The sequence below is a fragment of the Homo sapiens genome, chromosome 10, assembly GCF_000001405.40.
Source record: "Homo sapiens chromosome 10, GRCh38.p14 Primary Assembly".
NCBI lineage: Eukaryota > Metazoa > Chordata > Mammalia > Primates > Hominidae > Homo > Homo sapiens.
In genome coordinates, this window is record NC_000010.11 from 122,778,270 (window position 1) to 122,791,163 (window position 12,894).

A 12,894-nucleotide genomic window follows, 5' to 3' on the forward strand; every position below is an offset into this window, starting at 1 on the left:
GTGTGTGTGCTTTACTGAAATATGCAAATAACATGTTTAATGGTGAGAATTTTTTAATGATGGGAATAAGGAGCTCATTGAAAGAGGCAGCCTGCAGTAGCCAGGCTAGGGGAGACTTTAGAGCTAGGAAGACTTGAATCTGGCTTCCAGAGCCTGTGCTGACACACAGACTGTATGTGAGCAACACTTAAACTCTCTCTTAAACATATTGGTAACTCTTATTGCCATGTCCTCACTCAATCACCACACCAAGGAAATCTGTGCACTAACCTGACTTATTTCAATTGGCTTGTGACAATTTTTAAAATATTTTCTGAATTTTCTTGTGTATAAACAGCTACGAGTAAGTTAGCCACCTCTGGAATGTCTATCAATAATCCTTTCTGATAATGAGATGCCTTTTGGTAAACTAACAGCTGTAATAGCTGATGTGATTTGAAAAAATCAGTAATCATAACTCAAAGGAGGAGGGTTTGTTGCACAGAGTTGCCCACATGAGAAGCAACTCAATTGCATGTCAGTACCTGCTAACCGTGACCTGTAATTTGAAGTGCATACTTAAAGACATTGTCTTATGTGTTGGTGCATTCATTTGTCTATTTACCTTGTGACATCTTATCATGGGTGACATGTATCCTAGTGACAGCCTCCTGGGTATATGTTATTCCCACGTCTCAATCTTCCAGAGGATGATTGTCTAAATCTGAGGTCCCCCCAGAGACACCAAAAGTGAAACACCTGCTGCAAAATTGATGGTTTAAGTCAGATCATCCCAAATGTACCTTTGCATCCGGCCATTTTTACATAACTTGGTACAAACCAACAACCAGAGAGAAACTTACTTTCATTATCTACAGATGAATCTGCTTCTCCCAGTACTATGTTTTTTAAAAGGACTAATTTTTCCCACATCAGATTAATAAATGCGTATAACGATGGAACTAAAACCTTCATCTTCAGTTATTAAAGTCAGGATTTCCAAAAAATACTGATATACTTATTCTCTCTACAAACAGATGCTGAAGAATCACTTGCTAACAGTCCAGGTCAGTCACACCTTTTGTTGACGGGAGTTAAATATCAGCTGTTCTTGATTTTGTCCTTAAGCTATTTGTTTTTTCAGTTTTAAGTTCACTCTTTATCTAAACTGCAGGGTTTTTCACACCACTGATATTCTATTAGAAAGTCTTATTTAAAAATACTTTTGATTTTTTACATGTGATGATGATGATGATGTGTGTGTGTGTGTGTGTGTGTGTGTGTGAAGTCTATATTTTTTGGAGATGCATGCAGAGTGAAACGGTGTTTCATGGCCTTTTCGCATACACTATTCCTCTGGCTCAGGGCACTTTTTCAGCTCTTCCCCTGACTAGCTCCTTCTCAGTTTTTAAAGAGGTGTCCTCCAGCCCTTTCCTCTCTATTGTCCCCTTCATAGCATCCTGTTTTTCCCCTCTTTGGCCCATTTATCACAGTATGCAATGATGCACTGTGGCAGTGCCTGCATTTGACTAATAAATAGACTCCAGGCTCCCTGAGGACAGAAATCACATCCCTGGTTTAGAGCTGTATCATCAGTGCCTAACATAAAAGACAATCAATAAGTACTTAAAATGAAATTAAATTGTCTGAAGACCCCACAACCTGCAACTCAGGAACACGTGAGAAATCTGAGGAAAAAGCCCCAAGGCTCAAGACTGGGGAATGTCCCTCCCTAACCCTCTCTGAGCTGGCACTGGTGGACCCAGGCGGGGTCTTTTGGGAAATCACATGCTGTGTCTCTGTCTGCAGAGGGCTGGCCGGAGCTGAGGCTGATGGGCGGCTCAGGCCGGTGCTTGGGGCGCGTGGAGATTCTCCACCAGGGTGCCTGGGGCACCGTGTGCGACGACCTGTGGGACCTGAATGAAGCCAAGGTTGTGTGCCGGCAGTTGGGGTGTGGGCAGGCTGTTTCTGGCCCTGGCGAGGCCCACTTTGGCCCAGGCTCAGGAGACATCTTCCTGGACAACCTCCAGTGCACTCGGGTAGAGCACTACCTGGGCCAGTGTACCCACTTGGGCTGGTCAGAGCACAACTGTGGCCACCACGAGGATGCCAGTGTCATCTGCTCAGGTAACATATCCCCTCTCAGCCAGTGATTTCTGATGCTGCAATTGTGACATTTTGAAATTCTGCATCCTGGGTGGCATTTTCATCCATCCATCCATGTGTCTGCCCGTTTCTGAAGCATCTCCTTGAGACGCCATGGGCAGCTCTGGTTGCACAGGAAATTACTAATTACTTGGCATGAGCACCATCTGGGCATTACAATGTAGATTCTAGGGTCCCACCTCCAGAGATTATGACTAAGTAGGAAAAAGTCTCTGGAATCTGCATCTTAACAAGTGGTTCAGGGATTCTGCATAAGAAGGGACAAAGGCAATCCAGCCCTGGCTGCTATGGGACAGAGTTGACCCAGCTGCTGTCCCCCAGCCTCCTAGGCCAAGGACCCTGCCAGAGGAGGGTTGAAGTAGCCCAAGGGGTAATTCCAGTATTCTGGTTTCCTATACCTTGTCACCCCAAATAGAGTAACCTGTCACCTTTATGCATTCAGATGCGGAAGACCTACCTCCACCCACACCTCCAGGTATGTCCATATGTTTTTCTAATTCAGGCAACTTACTACTACTACTACTACTCATAAAAGCAGCAAATACTTATAAGTATTTGCTGTAATAAGTAATAAGTAAGAACCAGGCACTGTTCTGAGCCCTTCACATATATAACTCTTTCAATCCCCTCAATAGCCCCTTGAGACAGGTTCTTGGATTATTCATATTTTCCAGATAACCTGAGACATTGAAAGTTAGCAAGGTGCCCAGGGCTAGCCAGGGTATCTGAACCCAAGCTGTCGATGCTCTTGGCCATTAGCCTTATTTACCCATTCCTTGGCTCAGCTACACAAAGACCAGGGAAAACTCGAGTAAATGTGGGGAGACGTTTTGCTCAGATCATTGCTAATCATCAGGACAATCCTGCCAAAAGGCATTATCTATTATATTTTACAGAAGAGAAAATTGAGACACAGAAAGGTTAAGTAACTTTCTCAGGATCACTCAGTAAGTTAATGACCCAAATTTTGACACTGATCAGTCTGGCCCCAAAGTCATGCTCTTAGGGATCTTATGACTTTTACCTCTTTTCAAAGATCTTACAAATGAATTATTGACTAATATTCATCTGTAATAAAAACCAAATATTAGAAAAATCAGACCAACTACATGCACTGTGAATTCTGAAATGATGCTGAAGGTGATTGAAAGGTGATTTCACAGCTGAGGATTAGGGAGATCAAAAAACCTACCGAAGATAACTTGATTAGAAAGTGGCAGGACTGGAATTTACAAAGCCATCTCTCACCCTTTGAATGCACCTGGCTGTCCCCTACACAGCCTCAGTGAACACAGATAAGCCATCATCCATTGGCAGAAGCATCTCTCTTGGGCACTTGCCTGGAGAAGACCTCGATGTGTCCTGGTGTTCTTGAAGGAAGGCCAGCTTTACCCATTGGTACCATGAGTGAGAAGGGAGGGACTGCCTAAAGTTAAAGGGCCATGGTTAGGGTCAAGGGCAGTGGATATTCCAATGAAGATCATCTGTAGTTTTCTCATTTTATGGACAGCAGGGAAATGAGAAAAATGAGATTGAGTGAAAGGAGCCATTCTGGTTATCTATTGCTCACCGAAACTTAGCAATATAAAGTAACCACCATTTAGATGTATGTTATGTCTTTGAGGGTCAGGAATTCAGGCAGGGCTCAGCTGGGAGACCCTTCTGCTCCACAGAGCATTGAGCAGGGTTGCTCAATGGATTTCATCTGATGACTGGTCTGGAGAATTCAAGACAGCTTCACTCATATAGTTGGTGCCTTGGTGGGATCAGCTGGAAGGAAAGGCTCAGCCACAGCCCTCTTCCTTTTTAGGTGGTCTCAGGTTACAAGAAGTCTGACTACCATGCTGAGAGACCATGCACACTCAGACTTCTTTTTGTTTGTTTGTTTGTTTGTTTTTGAGACAGAGTTTCACTCTTTCGCCAAGGCTGGAGTGGAGTGGTGCTATCTCTGCTTACTGCAACCTCCGCCCCCCAGGTTCAAGCAATTCTCATGCCTCAGCTTCCAGAGTAGCTGGGATTATAGGCACCATGCCCTGCTAATTTTTGTATTTTTAGTAGAGACAGGGTTTCACCATGTTGGCCAGGCTGGTCTCAGGTGATCCACCTGCCTCAGCCTCCCAAAGTGCTAGGAATACAGGCGTGAACCACTGCACCTGGCCACACTCAGACTTCTTGTAAGGTGGGTTAGGGCTCCATGAGCGAGCCAGTGTTCCCAGAGATGGGAGGTGGAAGCCACCAGTCTCTTAAGGTGCAGAGCCACTGCCACCATATTCTGTTGGTCAGAGCAGTCACAGAACCCACCCAGGTTCAAGGGAGGTTACCTAGACCCCACCTTGTGACAGGAGGCATGTCTAAGAATTTGTGGCCTTCTCTAACCTGCCACAGAACCATAGAAAATATTGACTCAGCACCTTCAGTGCAGACTCTTCTCAGTTTGCACTAAGTACATTGATGTTTCTAAGGAAACCCTTTACATTTTACTGACTTATAGATAAGACTAAATATTTTCATCTGGATGTCATCATTTTCTGCCTTTTTTCCCTTTCAGATTCTTCTACAGCTTCTCAGGATCACATAAAAGGTAGCCTTTTATTTTAAATTGAAATGCTCATTCCATGTCAAGAGAACTATTGTGGCAAATGCTGGGCAGTATGCCCAGGACATAGCACAACAGAGCCTGGCACAGTGTGGGCAAGGGGTCTGCTTCTCTGCTGCCACTCTGTGTAATATAGTCTGTAAAAAATACTGACTTTACAACAAAAGGATCAGACTGGGAAGGGGGATGTGTATCTGCCCAGGTCAGACATCTGGCCCATACTCAGCCTTCCCTCTTTGGGTACAGTCCTATAGAAGGAACCAGCCCATTATCCCTTGCCACGTGTAGAGATTTCAGAAGGTCCAACTCCCAGAGGTTTCAGTGTCAGCCTGACCTGGCCTCATTATTGTAGCTTATAAATGTGGTCAGTGATAAAACTACCAGATGACCAGGAGCATCATCGCTTCCTGCTGTCCATCTCAGGAAAGACGAGGAATCTGTGGGATTCTGGGAGGATCACAAGTTGTCCAAGAGGAACAGAAAGTAGAAAAATTAAGCAACTTCATATTTTAGGGACAAGGTCAATAAAGAATATTGTACTTTCACATTTCCTCCAAAATAATTTTGTGTGAAATCTGCTTTCTTTGTGTGAAATCCTGTTTTAAATACATACATGTATGTGTGTGTATCTATCTATGCTAATATGACAACATACATGAAACTATTAGATTTCACTGTTACCTTGTTTAACCCTTATAAATCCAAAATCCTGCAAGTTCCAGTCTCAGACTAAATATCTGAGTTAAAGGAAACATAATCTACCCAGCAAAAGTGAGGCAGAGTACTTAAAGAAGGTGCTGGTCATAACATCCCCTGACAGATCAGTGTCCTTTTCCCTTTACCTACAATTCATCAGAACCCAAAGTTGTTCTAGAACCTCTTGCTCCCCAAACCTCCCCAAACTCTCCCCTTTCCCAAGCACATGTGGCCTCTGTTTCTTCATCTCTCCTTCCAGTCTCTCATTACTCTGTCCCTCCCCAGCAAGCAGAACCCCTACTTTAGAGAGGGGGAGAAAACTGTAAGCAGAAAGGACAAATTGCACATTTTCTTTATCAGGTGCTGAGAGAGAGGGAAAAGCAGGGAACATTCACACATTAATACTTTTTGCTTCATCAGAATTAGATTTAATAGACTCTCCTTCCCAAGAAACATTTAAGCTAAAGGTCTGCTCAGACAGCCTGTGCATGCCCACCCAGGCCGATTGGCGCCCAATTCTACCAGACCACTGCATGTAAACTGGTCTTTATTAGGATTACACAATGATGCCAAATGGACACATTCTGACACCATTTTTCCTGTTGTTTCAGGAGGAAGTAACTCTTGTGGAGGGGTCATTTCTAGTCTCTCTGGCTCATTTTCTAGTCCACAGTATCCAGAAAACTACCCAACAGATATCCAGTGTGTTTGGGAGATCCACATGGGTGCAAAATTTCACATAGAACTCATAATTCCAAGTTTGAAGTAAGAAAACTTTTAAAGAGAACGTTCTATGTAAATAAGAATATTGATTTGTGAAATCATATTAAAGGTATTTCTTTTAGTGGGAAACATTTAAGAGTGAAAGCAGAAGCACCCAACATTCTATAGTTTTTCCAAGTCAAATTTTGGGTTAGCTTTGTAGCACTATCCAATGAGTTACTTCTTAGTTGAAAAATTCAGTAAGTGATTTATTAACATATTTTGATAGTGTTTCTTTTTTTTCTAAAAATGTCACAAAAATCCTCAACAGTTTTGCCCTTATTGTACACTGGGTATCAATATTTGTCCTCTTAGACTTTCTTATTTGAATCCAAATTTTAAACGGTAAGAGAATTTTCATACACACATTAGCCAACTACTCCAGCTTTGGGTCCTGCATCTTCTAAATGTTTTGCAAAGTAAGAGGAGACATTAATGTCATTGCCTTATCTCTGACATAAAGAGAATAAATGTTCGAAAGTCACTGACATTTTTATCTCTATGACATAAAATAACAGCTGATGTTTTAATGCTAGCCCAGACTTTGTATGCTTTGTCATATTCCAGGGTTATACAGTCCAAAGATAGACGTCTTTGTCATCTCCATTAGAGATGAGGAGTCTGAGGCTCAGAGAGGATAACTAATTTGCCCAAGGCCAACCCATCTAGATCTGTCTGATGTCAATGACCCATCTGTTCACCAATATGTGGGTCTGTAAAAGAGTCTGCATGAAGCCCTTCTTCTTGTGCATGACACACATCGTGTTACAAACACAGCAAGACTGTAGAATTCCATGATCATTAGCTCCAGGCATGCACTGAATTGCGTTCCATCATGACTGTACCACAACCATGGATTCAGACATGCACTAAGCCAAAAATGCCTCAGGATATATTTGTTGACTAAAACTTTAGGGACACAATTAGCCACAATGAGGTAAGGACCTTGAACCCACACCTCCAAATTCTATTATGTTATCCATTGTCTGTTCCTTCAAAATTGCTTCCCCTTACCTTTCTCGTGAATAATTGCCATACTATTCTTCTATATCCTGCCACCACTTTTATTTTAAAATCAAGTTTTTTCCTACCCAAGAATTCGAGTATGGCAATTATTGTGAAACACAGAAGTAGGAAAAATCTGGCCGTGATGTCTGTTACATGCTGATCTTTGGGGTGATCTGACTGTTATGAATTTAGTTGCAGAGTAAATTAGTATTTCCTAATGTCCTATGTAGGTTGTGATTGGCCAAAACCATTATAATTTTTAAACTTCTGTTATGAGATTGTAGCTGAAAGCCCCACACATTCCTTAGCCAAAGAAAATAGAGTTGTGATAGGTCATCTGAAAAAATTAATTAGTATTTTACATTTCAGTGTGCAATTTAAATATAATCCAAATATGTAATCTCTATGATTGTCACACTTTTTTAGCATTAAATTTTAGGAAGTTTCTAATCTGCCACTACCCCTCCATGTCTATTCACCCCAGGTTGGAAGATATCCTTGGATGTCCCTATGACTCCGTTGAAATCTTCAATGGTCCCAGGATTGCCTCGCTCTCCATGGGGAAGTTCTGTGCCCCTGAAACTGTGATATTCTTCTCCTCCTCACACATCATGACAGTGGTGTTCCAAAGTGATTCTATGAAAACCAACACTGGCTTTTATGCTCTTTTCAATGCCATTCCTCAGGGTGAAAGGGAGTCAGGTAGGAAACTTCAAGTAGTTTTTGGTGGTTAAAAGACAGAACAGATTCTAACTTCAGAGTCTCCTTTGCCAGTAGAGCCCTAGGATTCAGTCTTTTAAGACCCCCACACTAGCTTCATTAACCCTGCTCCATAGCTGCTAGATTTTCCCACCATGAAGGCCACATGGGAAGCTACAATGAGGCAGTCATGTGCATTCTGTGTGTGAGTGGCCAGGCTGCTACTGCCTGCAGGGAAAAGCTGGGTGCTATGAACCGTCCTGGGGCTGCATCCACCCTCCACAGCCTCTTGGTAACTGTCCAGAGTGCTGAAATGTGGAAGTTCAACACTCGTATGACAAGACTCCACTTCCTCCACGAGCTGGCCCATTTTATACCTTGCATACATTGAAACCTAGTCTCACCCAAATGAGAGCCTTGGGGATTCCTGTTAGCCATGACCCTGCAGGCAGTCATGACCCTGCAGGCAGTCATTCCAAAGCCAGGTCCAATTTGCACCCTGCAAGCACACTGCCTGCCAAGTGTGAGACTTCTGATGCTGAGAGGCCCCTACAGAAACCCCAGAAATTCTTTTAGGCCACCAGAAAGCCAGATAGTAAGTCCCTGGATGTGGTTTGGGGTTTGCTTGTATCGGAGTAAGGGAATTTCTTGTATATTTCACCCCTAAAGCAATGTTCGAAACTCTGCCCTGGCAAAGCAAGGTAAGCTCCAACATTTGAAATCCAGACACTCATTAACTCAAGACCACCATTTAGCCATTTAACAATAGTTACAGAGGTCCTATTATATACCAGGTCCAGTTGTAAGTGTGGGAGCATGGTACAGCTCCGTGCCCTCATGGAGTTTATACTCTAGTGTGGACGTGGGTAAGTGAGAGAGGATCAAAACACAAGAAACAAGGAAATAAACAAACTGGTTTTGGGGTAAGGATGATAAAGGACAGAGGTGAAGGCTGGGAATAAGGAGTCAGGTGGGAGAATAGAGGGTGCCTGAGTAGAGTAGGTGCTACTATGGGCTGGATGAGAATGGATGGTATCTCTGAAGACGTGGCATGTGATGAATGACAAAGAAAAGCATTACAGGTGGAGGAAAGACTTGGGCATGTTGAAGCAACAGAAAGAAGGCCAAAGTGACAGAGCCAGTGGACACAGTAAGGGAAGGCTGTCCTTACAGTGCCTCCAGAGATAGCAGATAATTCTTTTTTTTTTTTTTTTTTTTTTTTGAGACGGAGTTTCGCTCTGTCGCCCAGGCTGGAGTGCAGTGGCGCGATCTCGACTCACTGCAAGCTCCGCCTCCCGGGTTCACGCCATTCTCCTGCCTCAGCCTCCCGTGTAGCTGGGACTACAGGCGCGCGCCACCATGCCCGGCTAATTTTTGTATTTTTAGTAGAGACGGGGTTTCACCGTGTTAGCCAGGATGGTCTCGATCTCCTGACCTCGTGATCCGCCCGTCTCGGCCTCCCAAAGTGCTGGGATTACAGGCGTGAGCCACCGCGCCCGGCCAAGATAGCAGATAATTCTAATCGGCCACAGCCCTTCAGTCCAGATAGAGCATTGCCACTGTGTTCTATGAAGTCACAGTCACCCTTGTGGTCCAGGTGCGTTTCAGGGGATTAAATCTACCCTTATTCAAGACACATATAAAAAAGCAGCTGGGAACCTGCTCTCCTGTAACCCAGCATTGTGACACAAAAACCATATGTCAAGTTCTGCAGTAACCCTGACGTGCTGGGTGCTGAGCACACTCTCATTGGTAGCATCTCCTCCAGATGCTGCTAGAGTCCTTATTTTACAGGTGATAAAACTGAGGGTCAGGGAGACAGTCACTTATCAAAATTTACACAACTAGGAAGCCATAGAACAAGGATTCAAACCCACTTCCTATCTCACTCTGAATCCCTTAAGCCTGATTAAATCAGTTGGCTTTAAGGTTTTGCTCTTGTGGTTGCCTTAGCCACAAACACAGAAGCCAGAAATCACTTGCTACTTAAAACTTATCAAACTCAAAAATAAAATTTTGCTCTGTTTAGAAGATGGACCAGAGTTGCGGCTGGTGGGTGGCTCTGGCCAGTGCTCAGGACATGGGGAGGTCCTACACAAGGGCTCCTGGGGCACTGTGTGTGATGACCTGTGGGATCTGAATGAAGCTGAGGTTGTGTGCCAGCAGCTCGGGTGTGGTAAGGCCATTGCTGCTCCTGGAAAGGCCCACTTTGGCCCAGGTTCTGGAGACATCCTTCTAGACAACATTCAGTGTTCAGGAAGTGAGAACCACCTTGGCCAGTGGCCCAGCTCCGGCTGGTCAGACCACAACCGTGGCCACCATGAGGATGCCAATGTTGTCTGCTCAGGTGGCCTCTCCTTCCATGATAGATTCCTTCTGATCTTTCACCCAAAGACATCCTAGTGATGGATGAAGGCCATGCATGAAGTGGGGCCAGGGAATTTTGGGACAGTGGCCCAACAGATGAATGTCCCTTTGGCCAGGTAGACAGAGAATGCTGTGAGCCTGGCTCCATTCTGAGGACAAACACAGCAGAGCCACACAATTGGCTGCTTCTGTTCTCTGCACCTCTCCCATTTCTGGAACTGCTTTTCCAGGTCTAACCATGCCCTCGTTTTTGTTTATGTAACATACGACCTGCCTGCTTGAGAACTGCCCACACTAGAAAGCCACCATTTCTTTGTCTTCATAGAATGTAATTTAGATTTTTCTAAATTTTTCTTGTATGCATGCAGATGCTGGGGACTGGGCTCCAGATGTGATTCCTCCACCCCCAGGTAAGTCCAACACTAAATTTGCACTATCTTGGCAAAGTTAAAAAAAAAGTAACCTCTCTCCTGACCTAGACACTGGTCAACAATGACTAGGCTGGTGATTCCCAATTCTGGCTGCACACCAGAATCACTCAGCAAGCTTTTGAAATTCCTGGTGCCCAGGCTGCATCCCTGACCTGTCACCTTAGAGTCTCTGAGGTCACTCCCAGACATCAGTGATATTTGAAGCTCCCTGTGTCATTCCAATGTGCAGCCAAGGTTGAGAACTAGTGCTTAGGCAAGGAGCTAAGAGCCATATTTCCCAAATGGAATCACATTCAAAACTCTCTTCTGGTGGCAGAGCAAGGGAGGGCAGGAGGAGAAAGACTGAGTCACTATGGCTGAGAAGAAGGTCGATAGGGAGAAGAGAGACCCTGGAAAGGTTGTCTCTTAGGTACATGGGTTAGAAAATGAAAGTATGCAGGAAAGAAAAGATACATCGAGTGTCAAACTGTCTCCCAGTGAGTCAAGAGCAGACTGCTGATGAGAAGTAAACCATTTAGGGCTCTTCCGTGGCCCTCCTGGCTTAGCCAACACAACAGAGTGGACTTACTGGTAAACTACTCAAAGTCAGTGTGCAGCAGTGACCTTCTCCCGAACTCAAGATTCTGAAGTATGTGGGGTCCTGCCTCCTGCAGCCTCCTGCTTCCCAGGGATGGGTTCTCAGCTGCCCCCTTCTCTGCTCCCTGGGCCCCTGGGCCCTGCCCAGCCTCTTCCCTAACCCTGCCCAGTGACTGATGCCACACTCTGTCCCCAGCAGGGGCCTGGACACTAGGAAGCTATTGGGATCAGGGGTGCATTTTGTGGCATTTCGGGGCCCAACAAGGTAGATGGCAGCTGTCCGTACCCTGGGCTGGCAGAACCATGGCACATTTGCCAGGACACTCTGTGGAGGTCTCTTGCCCATTCCAGTCCAGGTCCCAAGTACGTCCCAAGATGGAGACCTCCATTCCTTGTGGGTTGCCCAGCTGCCATGGGTCAGGGCAGTAACCTGTAGGAAGGGGAAAGTGGTTTCCCCACCCCTGGCCAGGGCCCCACATTTTCATTTTGCACTGAGACTCACAAATTATGTAGCTGCTCTGGAGGGGAGGCAGAGTGCACAGAACCCCTTCTCGGGTTTAACAAGCAGCTACACTCTCTTTGATTCCCTCTGGCTTTCTTCCTCTTCCCCAGTGAGGAGTCTGTTCTGGCCTGGGCCCTGGAAGGAGGAAAAGACAGCAGGAGGAGAGGGGATGGTTTTCAGTTCATCAACAGCTCTAGGCCCAAGTCCCCTTGGAGCCTGGGGTTTCAAACCTCAGAAAGCCTTTCTGTCTTCTTTCTGCTGTAATATCCATTTTCTGAGGCAGAGGTGCATAGCTGGCTGGAAAAAAGAAGGGGTCATGGGATTAAGGAAACTATGGAGGGAAATACAACCACTTATGTCTAAATAGTATCCCACTGTAAGCATGAATCAAAAAAAATTCTTATTGATAGAACATTATATACCTACCAAGACACAAAAATATAAGGCTTTTGCCATTTAATACTCTGAGATAAATATCACATATCAAGCATTTTAACAAAAGAAAATTGCTTCTGAGCCACTTTAAGTTAGTGAAAATGTATTCCAGTGATATAGTGCACTTCTTCAGGCAAAGGACTGATGACAGGTTAAGTTGACCGTGTCCATCACTTTCACTGCTCTGCACATTGCTGCAGTGCTGGCCAAGGAGCAAAACAATGGGGATAAAGGAATTCTCAAGTACATCTGACATGTTTGCTTCAAATTCCTCCCCCAATAAACCCTTGGTGTAAAATCCAAACATTTAACAGCATTCTCATGATCAGGCTTTCATAGCTGCCCTCCCCTCAGCACCTGCTATGCAGGGGGTATTGAGGACACACATAGAATATAGACGTGCAGCAGGCCTTCTGTATCCATGATCCCACATCTGTGGATTCAACCAACTGTGGATCAAAAATATTCAGGAAGAAGAATCAATAGTTACATCTGTATTGAACATGTACAGACTTTTTTTCTTGTCTTTATTCCCTGGACAATACAGTGTAACTACTATTTACATAGTGTTATAATACATTGTATTAGGTATTATAAGTCATCCAGAGATTATTTAAAGTATAATGGAGGATGAGCATAGGTTCTATGCAAATACTCCTATGTTGTATATGAGACTT

General features: G+C 44.5%; 1 pseudogene across 1 annotated transcript in view, besides 1 other annotated feature; it reads left to right on the forward strand.

Annotated features, from left to right (window-relative positions):
- DMBT1L1 (deleted in malignant brain tumors 1 like 1 (pseudogene)) overlaps positions 1-12,894 on the forward strand; it is a 40,952-nt pseudogene that overhangs the window by 21,576 nt on the left and 6,482 nt on the right. The window contains exons 15-22 of the transcript NR_003570.2: positions 1,017-1,046; positions 1,789-2,106; positions 2,588-2,620; positions 4,694-4,726; positions 6,049-6,202; positions 6,767-7,136; positions 7,692-7,909; positions 10,642-10,683. The product of NR_003570.2 is annotated as a deleted in malignant brain tumors 1 like 1 (pseudogene) (transcript). The remainder of the gene's footprint in view (positions 1-1,016; positions 1,047-1,788; positions 2,107-2,587; positions 2,621-4,693; positions 4,727-6,048; positions 6,203-6,766; positions 7,137-7,691; positions 7,910-10,641; positions 10,684-12,894) is intronic.
- Positions 1,358-1,866: an enhancer, noted in NCBI's record as "H3K4me1 hESC enhancer chr10:124539143-124539651 (GRCh37/hg19 assembly coordinates)". NCBI's record gives its function as "activates a minimal SCP1, AML or CMV promoter by ChIP-STARR-seq in primed H9 embryonic stem cells {active_cell/tissue: H9 hESC(primed)}" and the evidence as "EXISTENCE:reporter gene assay evidence [ECO:0000049][PMID:30033119]".